We start from the raw sequence: 17,003 nt of genomic DNA on the forward strand, positions 1-17,003 counted from the left end.
CCCTGTGCTATGTTTGGTGGTATGGGTTGAAAGATGATGGAGAACTGGTCCTGCCCACAGGTGACTTACAGTCTAGTCCATGAAATAGATGTGCTCAGAAGGGCCTTTGCTGGGGCCGCGGTGCTGAGGGAAGGCTGCGCAGAGGAAGTGATGGCTGAACTATGATTTCAAGACTGAACAGGAGTTTGTAGTCATCCCAAGAGAAGGCAGGGGGTAGCACAGAGGCACGGAGAAGTGAGGTGTGCACGAGAACAACGCAGACTGTAACATGAAATTAATGTCAGCAAAATGTGTGTCTAACTCACTGAGTACACACCTGACCCTGTGCTAGTCTCACATGCGTTATATCCTTTCATCCTCACAATAGCCCTCGTTATCCCCATTTTGCAGAGAGAAAACCAAGGCTTGGAGAGGTGAAGTCCACCCAGATAAAAAGGCAGAACCATCTAGAGTCCAGGACTGCTGTACCCAGGCCCATGTGCTTACCCATGTTGGGGTTGGGAGAGGAGCGGGTGCAGGGCGGCAGGGGCCAGGCTGAGGAGTATACAACAACACAGTCATATCTGCTGCTGCTGCACTCCTAATTAGACCGTTTAAAAATGACCAAAGTGGCCGGGCACGGTGGCTCACGCCTGTAATCCCAGCACTTTGGGAGGCTGAGGTGGGCACATCACCTGAGGTCAGGAGCTGGAGACCAGCCTGGCCAACATGGTGAAACCCCATCTCTACTAAAAATAGAAAAATTAGCCGAGCATGGTGGCAGGCGCCTGTAATCCCAGCAACTTGGGAGGCTGGGGCAGGAGAATAGCTTGAACCTGGGAGGCGGAGGCTGCAGTGAGCTGTGATTGCGCCATTACACTCCACTCTGGGCAACAGAGCGAGACTCTATCTTGAAAAACAAATTGAATTGAATTGAATTAAATTAAATTAAATTAAAATAAGACTGACTAAACTGATCAGAAAAGAAGATCCGTTGAGGCTGAGAAAGGCTAAAACATGGTCCAAGTTTAACAAAAAGGGACTTGGAGGTAAGTGACCACAGCTGTGAGGGAGGGCAGTGCCACTGTGGGTCTGCCAAGGGAGGGATGGAGATGATGCAGCCACATTAGAGGAGGCAAGCCTTCTTCCCGATGCTGTGCCAGTTCGACCCTAGTGGAACTGTTTCCCCGCCAAGCCCTAAGGCCTGGCTGTAGCATTGAGACCACTCAACGAAGCCTCATCTACCATGTGCCCAGTATTGAAAAGTTTCATGCCAGGTTCACAAACTGTTAAACATAAGATATTCTATCCAGCTCATTAAGCTGTACACTGACAAGTTGTGTGCTCGCCTGTACGCATGTTTGTGATATTATAAAATATATATTTGGTCTTCGACCTAGTTTCCCAGCGTACAACTCCTAAAATCCTTAGAAACTCCAAAGTGATGTCTTTTTGTATGCTAATGAGCTGACGGAAGAGCTGGCAGCCCCTAGGCAGCTTCAAGATTGAGGTTGGTTACCCCAAAAGACCCAGGCAGGATTAAAGGGTTGGACTTTCTTTTCTTTTATTTATTTATTTTGACGGAGTTTGACTCTGTCTCCCTGGCTGGAGTGCAGTGTTGTGATCTCAGCTCACTGCAACCTCCGCCTCCTGGGTTCAAGCGATTCTCCTGCCTCAGCCTCCCCAGTAACTGGGATTACAGGCACCTGCCACCATGCTCGGCTAATTTTTTTGTATTTTTAGTAGAGATGGGGTTTCACCATGTTGGTCAGGCTGGTCTCGAACTCCTGACCTCAGATGATCCACCTGCCTCGGCCTCCCAAAGTGCTGGGATTACAGGTGTGAGCCACCGTGCCCGGCCAAGATTAGAGGGTTGGACTCCCAACCCTAACCCCAACCCCATCCTTTGGGAAGGGGAGAGGGGGCTGAAGATTAAGTTGATCACTAGTGGCCAATGGTTTAATCAATGATACCTATGGAATGAAGCCCCCATACAAGCCCAAAAGGACAGGGTTCAAGTGCTTCCGGATAGCGGAACACGTGGAGGTTCCTGGAAGGTGGTGTGCCTGGGAAGGGCGTGGAAGCTCAGTGCAGCTTCTCCCATACCTCGCCCTATGCACCTCTTCATCTGTATCCTTGTAATATCCTTTATAATAAACCAGTAAACGTGTGTTCCTGTGTTCTGCGAGCCACTCTAGCAAATTAATGGAACCCAAGGAGGAAGTCACAGGAACCCTGATTTATAGCAGGTCAGTCAGGAGCACATGTAAAGCAGCCTGGGGCTTGGGATTGCTACTGGAAGTGGGAGGCTGTCCTGGGAACTAAGACCTCAACCTATGGGATCAGATGCTATGTCCAGGTGGAGATCATCAGAATTGAATTGGATTAGAGGACGCTGGCTGATGTCTGCCGCAGAATTGACAGCTTGCTTGGTGTATGCACGCATTTGGTCGCAGAAGTCTTCTGTACCAATTATTGCAGGGTGAAAGCAGAGGAAAGACAGTTTACGTCTTTTCCTGTACTTTCATTAAAAAGTTAATCACTTGGCCAGGCGTAGCGGCTCACACCTGTAATCCCAGCACTTTCGGAGGCCCAGACAGGCAGATCACCTGAGCTCAGGAGTTTGAGACCAGCCTTGCCAACATGGCAAAACCTTGTCTCTACTAAAAATACAAAACTTAGCCAGGTGTGGCGGTGCACACCTATGATCCCAGCTACTCGCAAGGCTCAGGGAGGAGAATCGCTTGAACCTGGGAGGCAGAGGTTATAGTGAGATCGTGTCACTGCAATCCAACCTGGGCAACAGTGCAAGACTATGTCTCAAGAAAGAAAAAAAAAAGTTAAACAATCATTCTATCCTCCTATCTTGGCAAAAACCTTACTTGCCACCTAGAGGGCTAGGTTACCTGATAAAGTTCACGCTAGACAATGGTGACATGGGAGATCTAGCCCCAGGCCTGCAGCCTGCCCATCCCTTCTGCATCCCATGCTGGAGGCCCCAGCCACACCCTCAAGCTCCAGCCACAGCCCTTGCAAATGAATTTCCCTTGACCAGCCCTTGGCCACAGGCAGTGTGGCCTGCCCTGGCAGAATGGGCCCCAGGCAGAGGCCTGCAGAGCCCGGAAGCAGGCTCACGGCTGTCTGGGCCAGATACTCCAGGAGCCTAAATTCTCATGGCGCAGCTGAAGAGGGTGGGCACAGGCTGTAGGCGGGCATTTCTCCCTGAGGACCCAGCATGCCTTCTCCTTTCAGGTAAAGCGTGTTTTCCCTTATGTCCTGGCTGTGAGGAAACTCAGGGCAAGCTCCATCCTTGCACCTGCATTGACCTTGACTTGCATATTTGTCTTCTCCTTGACCTTGATCCTGCTCTTCTGTTTTTGTTATTTATTTTTATTTTTTGAGACAGAGTCTCACTCTGTTGCCCAGGCTGGAGTGCAGTGGTGTGATCTTGGCTCACTGCAACCACCACCTCCTGGGTTCAAGCGATTCTCCTGCCTCAGCCTCCCCAGCAGCTGGGACTACAGGTGCGTGCCACCACACCCGGCTAATTTTTGTATTTTTAGTAGAGACGGGGTTTCAGCATGTTGGCCAGGCTGGTTCGAACTCCTGACCTCAAGTGATCTGCCTGCCTCGGCCTCCCAAAGTGCTGGGACTACAGGCGCAAGCCACCACAACTAGCCTGTTTTTATTTTGTTATTTAATCTGATGTGTTTTCCGTCATAAGCCTCTTGAGGGCAGGCATGCTGGATTCCAGACTCCCTGCCCTATGGGGAAGGGAAGTGCTGTAAGACACCAGACGGAAGCCTCTAAATCAGAGAGCTGATGGCAGGCCCCCTCTTTCCCTGATTTAAAGGCAATTCTGTGGCTATAGGACTTGCAGGAAGTTGTAGAAAAGCTGGTAAGAGATCAGAAGAGGAAGAACAAGTAGTTAAAGGTGAGTAGAGGATGGGTCACCTGGGAGGAATTGTTCTAGAGAAGGAATGAGAGATGAGGCCAGCCGGACTTCCTGGGTCAACTGGGGACTTGGAGAACTTTTCTGTCTTACAAGAGGTTTGTAAAATGCACCAATCAGTGCTCTGTAAGAATGCACCAATCAGTGCTCTGTAGCTAGCTAGAGGTTTGTAAAATGGACCAATCAGCACTCTGTAAAATGGACCAATCAGCAGGACATGGGCTGGGACAAATGAGGGAATAAAAGCTGCCTCCCCGCCCACCCCCCCCACCCCCAAGCCAGCAGCACCAACCCCCTTGGGTCGCCTTCCATGCTGTGGAAACTTTGTTCTTTTGCTCTTCAGGATAACTCTTGCTGTTGCTCACTCTTGGGGTCCTTAAGACCTGTAACACTCACCGCAAAGGTACGTGGCTTCATTCTTGAAGTCAGTGAGACCACGAACCCACTGGAAGGAACCAACTCCAGACACAGGAAGATTCAGGGATGAGACGAACCCTGGTCCTCAAGTGCAAACTGGAACCCTACCCCTGGAATCCCAGCACTTTGAGAGGCTGAGGCAGGAGGATTGTTTGAGTCCAGTTCAAGCAAGAGTAATGTAGGGAGATGCTATCTCTACAAAAAAAAAGAAAAAAGGCTGGGCACAGTGGCTCACGCCTGTAATCCCAGCATTTTGGGAGGTTGAGGTGGGCGGGTCACCTGAGGTCAGGAGTTTGAGACCAGCCTGGCCAACATGGTGAAATCCCATCTCTACTAAAAATACAAAAATTAGCCAGGTGTGGTGGCGGGCGCCTATAATCCCAGCTACGTGAGAGGCTGAGGCAGGAGAATCGCTTGAACCGGGGAGGTGGAGGTTGCAGTGAGCCAAGATCTTGCAATTGCACTGCAGCCTGGGTGACAAGAGTGAAAACTCTGTCTCAAAAATAAATAAAAATAAAAATTAAAAAAATTAGCCACATATGGTGCTTGCCTGTAGTCTTAGTGATTTGGCAATCTAAGGCAGGAGGATAGCTTCACCCCAGGAGATTGAGGCTACAGTGGGCTGTGATTGTACCACTGCACTCCAGCCTGGGCAACAGAGCAAGATCCTGTCTCAAACCAAACCAAACTGAAACTTGACAGTGATATTCACATCCCCAGGAAGAAAACCTGGGCCTGGATTAAGGAAAGACTGAAGTCAGATCTAAGGAGGAACTTCCTGGCTGTGGTGTGGTGTGGTGTCACTGAAGGGCCTGGCTTCAGGCAGTTTGTCTCTTGTTTAGAGCTCTGGGGTTTACCAACCATGGAGCCTTCGGCAATGGAATGGTGCCTCAGGGCCTCAGTTTCTCATCTGTAGAATGGGGATAACAAGAGTCTCTGCCTCCTGGGGTTGTCGGGAGGATGAGCTAATGTGTGTGCTTTGTTTCCTCAATGTATGTGATACCCGGGACATCATAAGCGAGGAATTACTAGCTGCCACTGGAGCCGCCCACTTGCTTCCGAGCTCCTTACAGCTCCTGGTTGGGTCCTGTGATCCTCGGTTTTCTTTTTTTCTTTTTTCTTTTTCTTTTCCTTTTTTTTTTTTTTTTTTTTTGAGACAGAGTTTCGCTTTTATTGCCCAGGCTGGAGTGCAATGGCCAGGTCTCAGCTCACCGCAACTTCAGCCCTCGGTTGAAGCGATTCTCCTTTCTCAGCCTCCCCAGTAGCTGGGATTACAGGCACGTGCCACCACGCCCGGCTAATTTTGTATTTTTAGTAGAGTTGGGGTTTATCCATGTTGGTCAGGCTGGCCTCAAACTCCCAACCTCAGGTGATCTGCCTGCCTTTGTCCCCCAAAGTGCCGGGGTTACAGGCGTGAGCCACCGCGCCCAGCTGAGCCTCAGTTTTCTCACAGGTAACATGGGGATGAAGAGGCTGCTTTCTCGAGGCTGCTTTAGCTTCCAGGACAGTGCAGAGGTCACAGACTCCATCCTTACTGGTAGCAGAGAAAGGCTCCAGAATCCCCTATGGAAGCTTCAGTTAAGATGGAGAACCACCCAGCCTGAGGCTAGACATTCTCTCCTCCGAAGTCAGGGACTGGGTGGGGTGACCTGCACATGTGTTGCCCAAGGGCAGAAGCGGAGGGGAGGGGAGAGCCGGTTAGAGTTGTGAGGACACCTTGCTGGGTGAATGGGGAGATCCCTGGCCGCCGCTCCCCTCTGCTCCTCCTTGGGGCTCCATCTGCAGAGTGGGGCTTGGCCCTCACGATGGCTGCTGGGGACGGGAGCAGCTCTGTTGGAGAGAGGGTGGGTGCTACCTGGGCACTCCGTCACCTGTGGAATGGTGGCAATAGCACCGTCGGCTTCCAAGGCAAGGGAGGGTGGGAGGAACCAGTTGTGAAGGGAGCCAGGGGTAGGGGTGGACATAGTCATTGGCCAGGAACGAGAGACAGTCCCTAGAGGAAGATTAGGAACCAACCTCAGCTTTAGAGTGGAGAAGATCATGGAGGAAAAAAAAGAGGCGACTTCTCTGAAGACAAGACCTTTGTAGACTTGGGGAAAAGCTGACAGTAAAGAAACAGAAAGAAGGCCGGGCCTGGTGGCTTACGCCTGTCATCTCAGCACTTTGGGAGGCCGAGGCAGGTGGATCACTTGATGTCAGGAGTTTGATACCAGCCTGACCAACATGGTGAAATCCTATCTCTACTGAAAATACAAAATTAGCTGGGTGTGGTGGCGCATGCCTATAATCCCAGGTACTTGGGAGGCTGAGGCAGGAGAATTGCTTGAACCCGGGAGGCGGAGGTTGCAGTGAGCCGAGATCATGCTACTGCACTCCAGCCTGGGCAACAAGAGCAAAACTCCATCTCTAAGTAAATAAATAAACAGAAAAAAAAGAAACAGAAGCAGACTGGAATTCTCATAACTCAAAACTATCCAGTCAGGACCAACTCCCTCCCAGAGCAATGTTTATTTTGCTTTTTAATTCGCATGTGCCTTGCTTCTTTCCAGAAAGGATTTGAAGAGGTTGACAGCAAATGTGTATCCCAAAGACAAGTCTTTATTGAGGATCCATTATGCCCAGGCCAGGTACAAAGACTCCAACATGTCTGCCCTCAAGAGGCTGATGACGGAAAACACATCAGATTCAATAACAAAATAAAAACGGAAGAGCAGGATCAGGGAAGGTCCACACGGGTGCAAGGATGTGGCTTCAGGTGGACCTCTGAGTTTTCTCATAGCCAGGACATAAAGGGAAGCATGCTTTATCAGAAAGGAGAAAGCATGCTGGCTCCTCGGGGAGAAATAAAGCTGAAGGTCGAATTGTAAAAGTGAAATGAACAATTGGCTGTTTCAGAGATACCAACACAAGAATTGGACTAGGGCAAGAAAGAAGATTCTGCCCAGCTGCTTTCTAGCACGTATATGATGGAGACCAGATGCAAAGCAGCAAAAAGGACTAAGTAGAAGGAAAGAGCTTAGTGCTGGAAGGAATCTGAGAGGTCATTTACGCTACCCTTTCTGTTTCACAGATGAGGAAACTGAGGCCCGGGAGGCAGTGATTTGATCAAGGTCGCCCCTTACCCATCCCAGGGGCAACAAAATCCTCACATGGCCACTGCTGTCAGCAACTGTGCAATCCCAGCTTGAGGACAGCCTGATGGCTTGTGGAAAGGTGGCCAGTGAAGAGGACACATCCCCAAATAAGAGACTTCCCAGACGTTCACAAATAGTATCTATAAGCCCAAAGCATCAGCCTTTGAGTGGAAGGTCAAGTGTAAACTTGTCTCAAAACCATCCTTTGGGGAACAAAGTAGAATATGAACAAGCAAATTTTTACCCCAATAACAAGTCCACAACTGAGCCTGAATGGTGGTAGAAGGAAAAAGGCTTTAGGTCCAACAGGGTGTGGGCTCAGGGCTTCCCATGCCATGCCCAGGCTGCACTGTGGGACTCCCTATCTATAAACTGGCAAGAATTAGATTCAGATAAATCATGATGTCTGCATGGGGATCAGCACATAGCACATGGTCAACAAACGTATTAACCTGTTCCTAGATAGAGAAACAACTTCTGCCAATTGCAATCTTAAAATTAATGACTTAGACACTTAAGCATCGTGTGAACTGGTGAACATGGAGGGGGAAATAGTACACAAATAGGAAACGTTTACAAGTGGAACTGGGATTAAAAAAAAAGAAAAAGAAACCCAGGGGAATTGACACTGTGGAGAAAAGGCTCATCTCCACTCCTGGGACAGCAGCCTGCTCAGGTCGAGGGGCCCATCCACCTTGAGAGACCCTCTAAGGACCCTCCATAGTTCAGGGCTGTTAGCTACATGACCTGAGCCAAGTGGGGTCCGAGCTGAGCAGCGCAGAGCAGACTGACCCCAGGTCAACAGGCCCCAGGTTGGGCTGCCTTTTAAAGTCAGAGAGAGGAGGTGGAAGTATTTCAATGAACAAGCAAAGAGGTGAGTATTCCAGTTGAAGTGGGTTATTGGGGGGATCGAGGGGGTTTGTGAAAGTTACAACTGCGCAGGTGGACAGAAGTGAAATCATAGGGAGCCTCAGTACCAGATAGGAAGAGGGGAGCCATGGGAGGTGTCAGAGCAGGGGAGTGGCACCCTCAGCAATCCACCTTGTGAAGATGATTGGTGGGAGCTGGAGAGGAGGCGGGATCCTGCTCACTCACAGCACAAGCCCTATTTGCATTCCTAATGGGCCCTGCGAGATTGGTTTTCCTTGCCGGCCCAGCTGGCTCTGGCAGATAAGTGGGACTCTGTGCCCAGGGGCAGGTTTCCCAGAAAGGTCTTCCAGACAGACCTGGGTGCTTGGTCCTGTTGCTCCCATCCCCCTCCCCAACACACACGTACACACACTCAGTCCTCGCAGTTTTTCCAGCCGAGCTGGAGGGAATGGCTTGTGCCTGTCTCCTAGTTTGCTAGGCCTTACCCAGGCCATTAGGATTCCCTGATGACTACAGGCCTCAGCAGAGCCCCTTCCAGCTGGCAGCCCTTTGCCCTCGCCCCCCTCACCTCCACCTACATCTTCCCATGTGTCCCTGGTTGGAAATCTCACTCTGGGTCTGGCCAGTGGTTTTTGCATTAGGCCAGGAGGATAACCAAGCCCCATGCCCTGAGCTGTGAACCTGGGTATGCCCCGTGACCAGTTGGCTTCAGACCTGAGGCCTCTGTGCCCTCTCCCAGGGGCTCTCCAGTGAGCATCAGGACCCCTACAGGAAGGAGCTGAGGACTCCCCTGTCCAGCCCCACTTCTTCCTCTGCTGGAAATATCAACTCCTCAAGCTCAGAGGCTCAGGGGGGCTCTTAGGTCCATTCTTAGCACTGTCTGAGCAGGGACTAGCTCTTATTCCTCTCCTCTTTTCTTTCTTTCTTTTTTTTTTTTTTTTTTTGAGACAGAGTGTTGGTCTTGTTGCCCAGGCTGGAAGGCAGTGGTGCAATCTCGGCTCACTGCAACCTCCGCCTCCCAGGTTCAAGCGATTCTCCTGCCTCAGCCTTCCGAGTAGCTGGGATTACAGGCTCCCACCACCACGCCCAGCTAATTTTTTGTATTTTTAGTAGAGACAGGGTTTCACCATGTTGGCCAAGCAGGCCTCAAACTCCTGACCTCAGGTGATCCACCCGCCTCGGCCTCCCAAAGTGCTGGGATTACAGGCGTAAGCCCCATGCCCAGCCTTCTTATTCCTCTTTTCTAGGACTCACAGTGATAGTTAACTTCTCTGGAAAGAACCTGACACTTCCCAAGTGTCCTCAGGAAGGAGTCCTCAGCTCCTTCCTGTAGGGGTCCTGATGCTCAATGGAGAGCCCCTGGCAGAGGGCACAGAGGCCTCAGGTCTGAGGCCAACTGGTCACGGGGCATGCCCACAAAGATTATTCCACCTGAAGCTCTTCACGGCCCTGCAAGCAGGCAGGGCAGGTGGTCGTGTTATTATCATCATCCAATTTGCAGATGAGAAAACTGAGGGAGGGAGGAGACTCATCCACTGTCTCACAGCTCTTTGTGTGTAGAGTTTAGAGCTCTGCACCCCCCACCCTTCCCTGAGACCAGCTTTCAGTGACCACCCCCTCCACCAGGCACAGATGGTCCAAATAGCTGGGTGACCTGAACGCGGAATACAGCCTCCATGACTGCAATCTCGGAGCTGGAAGTCTTTGGCCAGCAGCTTATCCAACTCTCCTAGTTACTGAGACTCAGAACAGTTCAGGAAGTTGCCTAATATCAAGATGGTGGCAGAGCCAGGTCTCAGGTGCCCTAACTCCCTGCCCGGAAGCCGCCCACCTCCTCACACTGGCCCCTCTCGCCCCAGAGCCCGCTCTGGCATCTCCTTCATTCCCTAGATGTATGGGTGTGCCTGACATTTCTGGAATTCACTCCACACACATAATGAGGCCATTTTGAGAAGGCCCGCCTCAGGGGGAACCAGAGAGCTGTCTAGTGTCCCCATCCTGACCCCTGCCAACTCCTCCCGGCTGTACAGGCCAGGCTGCAAACAGATAAATCGACACTACTGGCTTCAGCAACTCTACCCCTGCCCGCCCTACACCTTTCCAGCCTTAAGAACTAGCAGTGAGGGATTTGGGATTCACGGCTGCGATGCAGGGAACTAAGCGGCCTTAGGTGTCATCGGGCGGGTTGTTGCATGGGTCAGTGTTAATATGGGAAATGCTGATGTCAACTCAGCAGGTATGGAAACAGAATGGGGGCTCCTGTCAATGGCGCGGAAGTGATTGTAGCTGCACCCAGCGGCATTGGGGTGACTCTCTGAGATATTAGTTTGACATGAGGGTATGGGGCCGTGCCTGCTGGCAGAACCGTTGTGCACCTGGGGTAGCCACTGTGCTCACGAGGGACAGGCTGCCTAACGCTGAAGAACCGGGTTTCAGCCTCTGAGCGCAGGACCTTCTCTCCAGCCCCCATGGCCCACTGAGACCTGAGCAACAGAAAAGGAGCAAACCTGCAGGCAGGCCCTCCCAGGCAGCAGCAGGACAGGGTGCCCGAAGGAGAGCGTGGAGTTGCCTCTCAGAAGATTCTAGAAACTCTGGCTGGGTGCGGTGGCTCACGCCTATAATCCCAGCACTTTGGGAGGCCGAGGCGGGTGGATTACCTGAGGTCGGGAGTTCGAGACCAGCCTGGCCAACATGGTGAAACCCCCATCTCTACTAAAAAATTCAAATATTAGCCAGGCATCCTGGTGCGCACCTGTAATCCCAGCTACTCGGGAGGCTGAGGCAGGAGAATTGCTTGAACTCGGGAGGCAGAAGTTGCAGTGAGCCAAGATTGTGCCACTGCACTCCAGCCTGGGCGACAGAGCAAGGCTCTGTTTCAAGAAAAAAAGAAAGAAAGAAAGAAACTCAACTCTGCCCAGGTGCCTTAGCTATTCCGCTGCCCAGAAGCAGGGAGGAGACCCAGTGCTCCTTCCCAGAAGGCCCGTTTTCCAGCCCGTCGCCATCCAGTCTCCCTTGGAGAAGTCCCGGGAGATGGGATCCAGCTTCCTTCCTCTTTTCCCACCTTCTCCACTCCCAGAAGCTATTCCTGCAATCCTGGCCTAGCCTCTCACTGAGAGCAGGGAATTCCCTCTCTGGCAGCGGGATAAAGAAGGACCCTGCTTAGAGCCGGGACAGCCAAAGGGACAGGGAGGGCCTGGATGGGGAGGAGGCAGAAGTCTGGCCCCTGCTGCCTCCCCACACATACCTCCACCCCCCTACCCCCGCCCCAAGAATGTAATTAAGCAGCAGCTTCTGCCAGGAGCCAAGCTTTCTGCCTTCCGACTATAAATCACCTTCTGAATCATCTCTCAGCTCCTAGAGAAGCAACTTCTGCTCAGGCTGCTCTGGGCGGCCCTGGTGCCACTCCCCCTGGGAAGCCTGCCTCCCCCACCCCTTCTGTGCCCAGCCCCCTGGCTCTAGGTCCCAGCAAGAGTCTGGCAGACTCTGGGGGTCGGGGAATGATTAGGGGACACTCCAGCAACCTTCTCTACCCTGCCCTCCCCTTCCTGAGCAGGTAAAGAGCTGAAGTGAGATTAGCCTGGCCCAGCACCCTCAACTTAAGAATAAAGCTAAAGCACTGTGGGGCAAACAGGCAAAAAGAAGAAAAGGGGAAAACAGAGCCAGGTGGGGCAAATCTGGGAGGGCTTCTTGGAAGAGGCAAGTTTGGCTCCAGGGCTTCAGTGAGCCAATAGCTTGCAGATAGGAGGTGAAAATAGCTAACATCGATATGCTTCCTGTATGCAAGGTATCATTCTAAGAAGTATTCACTCAATCATTTTCAAAACCCTATGAAATAGAGGCAATCATTACACTCATTTTACAGATGAGGAAACTGAGGCTTGCAGAGGTTAACTTGCCCTAGTTACCCAGGTAGTACATGAAAAAGCCAGATGTGAATGCAGATGGCCTGGCTCCAGAAGAGTGGGAGTGTTTGGGGCGAGGTTTGGAAGTGCAAGCAGGTTGGCTTGGCAGGAGTGGGGCAGCCAGCTCTTTGCGATTTAGGTCAGATGGAGCCACAGAAAGAAACGGGTGGACTGTCTAATACAGGCCCGGAATGTGTGCAGTAGAGTGTCATGCTTCACAGCAACGAGCCCAGAACCTGTCATAGCCCTGGGACTCTGAGAGGCAAAAGGGACCCCTCCATGTGGTTAAGGAAAATGAAGCCCAGAAGGAGGCAGGGACTTGAATGAAGCCCAGAGAAGGGAAGGGACTCATCCTAGGTCACAGGGTCCATTGGTATTAAACTTGGAATTCAGACATAGGTCTCTCCATCTCCCCACTCTCACCATTTTCCAGCATACAAGATAACATGGATGTACAGATGTAATATCAGGATGGCTCTAACCTTTGGCGGGGGGTGGGGGTGGGGCTAGGCATACCTCCTCCCTGAGTTAGGAATGAGGGGTGGAGGATGTCTTGCCCTCCTTGGCAGCTGGAGAAGGTTTCTGTGGCTCACATCAGGGTAGGTGGAAAAGGTTCTGCTCAACTCCTGGCTCATCACATTCTGAGACCAGAAAAATCTTCCTTTTTCCCACTTCCTTTTCCCTGGAAGGGTTTGTTAGCTGCATCCTCCTCTGTGATAAGTCACCTTTCCTGTGCCATCCCCTGGCTCCTTATCCCCTGGCTCCTTGTCTCCTGCCCAGACCAAGGAGAGACTTCTTCCAATTCTACATCTGCCCAAGTACCATTAATGTTTATTAGCATTAAGTTCTGTAGTGAGGAGGATGAGAGATGCTTGCTAGGCTGAGTGCATTCTTTGGAGATTTCCACCCAGAGCCCTCGCTGTCTGCCTCAGTTTCTCCACCTTTGTCAGTGACTGAGCATGTATCCAGATGCCAGAGTGTGGGCCCTGGTAGGGCCTGGCTGGGTTTGCCACTGGTGAAGCTGCAGCAAGCACCTCCTAAAGGACTTGGCACCAAAGTCCAGCTCCTGCCTCTTTTGACCTCATCGCCAAAGGTCTTCCCACCAGGCCAGGATTAATTGCAGGGCAGACATCACAGACCCAAGCCCTCAGGATCCCTGGGGTGGAGGTGGGGGTGATACTCAGACTCCACCCATCTCTCACCTCTTGGCCCCGGAGCTGTTGACAAAATGCTCTGAGAGTCTAGAACTTTCCCTGAGAGCGTCCCCTTCCCCCATGCCATCCACATACATATTACAGCAGGTTCTTCTAAGGACATAACTCAGCTCAGGCTCTTGGTATTATTATAACGTTTGACCTGTTTTCTTCTTTTTAAGCAAAATGTGATCCTATCGGAAGAATACCAACAGATCGGCCACCAATTTTGCTCCCTCTGGACTCCGAAGCCCCACCCATAATGGGGGCGGGGTGAGCGGGAGGGCTGTTAACTTCCAAGAGACCTGGACTAATTTCCCCGCCATATCCCCCCCAGGGAAAGGTCTGCCCTGGAAGGGAGACCACCCGGTTAAAGCCTGGCCATCCGATCTGGTATCTGCCCATCTGTCTGTCTGTCTGTCTGTCTGTGGGATCAACAGCCTCCAGCTAGCTCAGCTCCTCACCAGCCCCAGCCAGCCCAGCCCCAGCGAGCTGTAATTCCTGCCTGTTACAAGTGTTAACACCTGGCCTGGGGCCTTCCTCCCCCGCAGTCTCCAGGTGCCTCCCTGGGCCCAGCCCACTGACCCCCACGGGGTTTGACTGAACATGTTCACAAGCCTCTGAAAGGTGGGTGGAGGTGGGAGTGGGTGGGAGAGGCAGCAGGACATCTGACAGATGGGGAAACTGAGGTAGGTCTTAGGCAGGTGCTCGAGTGGGAGGATGGGTCCTGGGATGGCGAGAACTCAGGTGTGCTATTTCCCAGCTCACTGCCCTTGTCCTCTGCAAAACATTTTCACCCAAGCTGTGAGGCAGGGCAGGCTGGGGACTCCTGGGTGAAGTGTAAGGAAGCAGACCCAGATGGGTGGCCACTGGTCCTCAGTCACACAGCGGCAGGGTGAGCTCCTGATCTCCAGCAGGCCCCCTCCATCTGCACGTCCATCGCTGGAATGTAGCAGGTGCTGGGCTAGGCCCTAATAACATAGGTTCATCCCCCCACCCCAGCGCCCCCAAGAAGAAGAAGAAAGACAAGTTTCTCCACCAGGAGCTAACTGGGACTGACAAGGGGAATTCGAGAAATCAGTGCTGTTGTTTCCTGTCCCGGCTCTGTCACTACCTGGAGAACATCTCTTCCTTCCAGGGGTGTCAGTCTGAGGCCCCTTAGAGCTGTCCCTTCTGGTCAACCTTCTGTCAGGACTGGGGTCTGAGCAGTGTGGACTCAGGGTGTCATGCTTGAGGGTCCGCGTGGACAGAAATCCCAGCTACATGACTTCCCCTGTAAATCCTTCCTGGGGAATGCATGAGCTGGGTGGGCCAAAGAGGGCAGGCCAAGATGGGCTTAGATGCTCAAAGTACTGGAATCTGACTGCCAGGCGGGGGGCTGGGTTGGGGAGTGGGGGCAGAAATGGGATCAGGAATCAGAGGCCCATCTACCCTACAGCCCCAGCCCTAACCCTGAGAAGGTGACTCACCCTCCACCCCAGCTCCAAGACCAAAGAAAAACAACCTCAGAGAGAAGGGCCAGTGACTCTAGTGCCTGGACAGACAGGACAAGCTGGTGTCAAGGAAGCCTGTGCCCCTGCCTCTCTAGCTTGCCATCCCTGGCCAGCTGTGCCCCCTGCAGCCACCTTGTGAGACTTTTGCTTCCTGTTGGACCTTCCCTCCAGGCCCATGGCTGCCCACCAAACACCCAAGCTCAGGTGTCATTCATACCCACAGGTAGATGTCTGCAAAGATATTCACAGCCACACAGCCCTGGGCCCAGCACCTGGGGACAGGATCACAGGCGGACTCAGACACAGCCCTCACACAGCTATGGACTTGAGGCTCACTCTCCTCCTTACAAGCACAATCAGGTCATGGCCATGAGCACTGATATTCATGCACAAAGACATCTGTGGGGCTTTCCCCACACTGTCATGAAGGCATGCGCGCGCACGTACACACACACACACACACTCACACACACGCACGCACGCACACACACACTCACATGCCCAGTCATGAACACAGTCAAGCCCAGCGTCACAGGCAGACACAGGCTCTGACCTTTACATGGGCAAAGATACTTCTAGACTTCTCTCTGTCTCTTACACATGTACATACACACATCACAGCACCAGCCACTTGCTCACACTCGTGTGCAGACACACACAGCACAACCTGTCGTGGGCATGGATCCCCCAACACGCCCACACGATTTCACATCCATAGTAGCCCAGTTGCAGGCACAAACACTTTTGCACACAGAGACACACTGGTGTATAGAAAACACCTCTTAGGGTCATAGACCCAGAACACACGCACACACACACACACACACACACACACACACACACACACACCTCTCTCCTTGGCTTAGACAAAGCAGCATTCCTGTCCCCCACCAAATTCCCAAACAAGCCATGTGTCTAGCATTATGTTAGGGCCAATGTCTTGACCTTCCAGGTTTCCCCAGCGTTTCTTCCTATTGGGCAATCCCTATCTAGATGGTCCCCAAGATACCATTTCACACCAGAATCTACACCAACTGGAAGAGTGCCCTCTTCTAGTTCATAGGGCCGGAGAGACTGGTCTCTCTTCCTCAGTCCCTGCCACCTATGGGCCGCCAAACCTTTCCTTCCTACCCTCCCCCAACCCACCAGAGTCTCTGCGAAAGCAAGGCGAAAAACGGCATGGCCTTGGCCCGGGAATGGGAAGAGGGTCAGGAATGGCCGGGTGAGGCTGGACTGGTGTTGGCAGCAGCCTTTCCCCAGACTGGCCGAACCTCCTTCCTGAAGTCCCTGGCTGCCCTGGCCACCCCATGGACTTCTTTATGTGCTGGAAGCCTCAGGTTAGCCCAGCCCCCCGGAAAAGTGTGGGTTGGGCAGAAGAAAGACTTCCCCTTGGCTGGCTGTCCTGGGAGCAACTCCTAGCACCCTCTAAACAGAGACCCTTGGCCATGTCCCCACCCTCTCTCCCAGGAGCCCCAAACACCCAGACACAAATGCTGCCATCCCCAAACAACTGGAAGACTCGGGGTGTGGCCCCCAAGTCTCGCTGTCTCTGCTCCTCCTACCCTGGACTCTGGGTTGGCGAAAGGCAGGGAGTCTGGGGACCTGCAGGCGGTACCGCACCGTGGTGGCACTTCTTTCTGACTTTCACCCCGGGGGCCACAGCCCACTTCTCACTCACAGATCCCAAATTCTTCCTCCTCACCTCCCCCCGCCCAGGCCAAGGCTCTCCTATGTCCAGGAGGGGAAGATTCTTTAATTAAAGTTTTCCGGAATGTAGGGGGCTGGAGACTGGGGAGAGGCGGAGTGTAATTTAGAGAACTGGTTTCAGTGTCTTCCCCTCTGGCCCCTGGGACCTGCGGAGGGTGGGAGAGCGGCGATGGGGCCGCTCGGAAAACAAGGGGACTCCTGGAGCTGGGGCTCCCAAAGCGATGTTTATTCCTCACCCAGGCCCCCCAGACACGCACAGCCCCCCCCAAGCACTGCTCCCGGCTTCCCAGTCTTATTTACTAAAATGTCTTTTGTATCCACATTTCTCAGGGACGGAATTCTCCCTTCCCTCTCCC

The 17,003-nt window shown here is 52.6% G+C and overlaps 2 protein-coding genes across 2 annotated transcripts in view, besides 3 other annotated features; one reads left to right on the forward strand and one right to left on the reverse strand.

Moving 5' to 3' along the window:
* LRRC37A2 (leucine rich repeat containing 37 member A2) overlaps positions 1–17,003 on the forward strand; it is a 676,337-nt gene that overhangs the window by 427,936 nt on the left and 231,398 nt on the right. The gene's annotated exons all lie outside the window — the stretch shown is intronic.
* Positions 1–17,003, reverse strand: part of WNT3 (Wnt family member 3) — a 56,187-nt gene that overhangs the window by 38,222 nt on the left and 962 nt on the right. The window lies entirely within an intron of this gene.
* Positions 8,388–8,917: an enhancer, noted in NCBI's record as "H3K4me1 hESC enhancer chr17:44886481-44887010 (GRCh37/hg19 assembly coordinates)". NCBI's record gives its function as "activates a minimal SCP1, AML or CMV promoter by ChIP-STARR-seq in primed H9 embryonic stem cells {active_cell/tissue: H9 hESC(primed)}" and the evidence as "EXISTENCE:reporter gene assay evidence [ECO:0000049][PMID:30033119]".
* Positions 8,918–9,445: an enhancer, noted in NCBI's record as "H3K4me1 hESC enhancer chr17:44887011-44887538 (GRCh37/hg19 assembly coordinates)". NCBI's record gives its function as "activates a minimal SCP1, AML or CMV promoter by ChIP-STARR-seq in primed H9 embryonic stem cells {active_cell/tissue: H9 hESC(primed)}" and the evidence as "EXISTENCE:reporter gene assay evidence [ECO:0000049][PMID:30033119]".
* Positions 13,719–14,623: an enhancer, noted in NCBI's record as "H3K4me1 hESC enhancer chr17:44891812-44892716 (GRCh37/hg19 assembly coordinates)". NCBI's record gives its function as "activates a minimal SCP1, AML or CMV promoter by ChIP-STARR-seq in primed H9 embryonic stem cells {active_cell/tissue: H9 hESC(primed)}" and the evidence as "EXISTENCE:reporter gene assay evidence [ECO:0000049][PMID:30033119]".

This window comes from Homo sapiens, chromosome 17, assembly GCF_000001405.40.
Source record: "Homo sapiens chromosome 17, GRCh38.p14 Primary Assembly".
NCBI classification, from domain to species: Eukaryota; Metazoa; Chordata; class Mammalia; order Primates; family Hominidae; genus Homo; species Homo sapiens.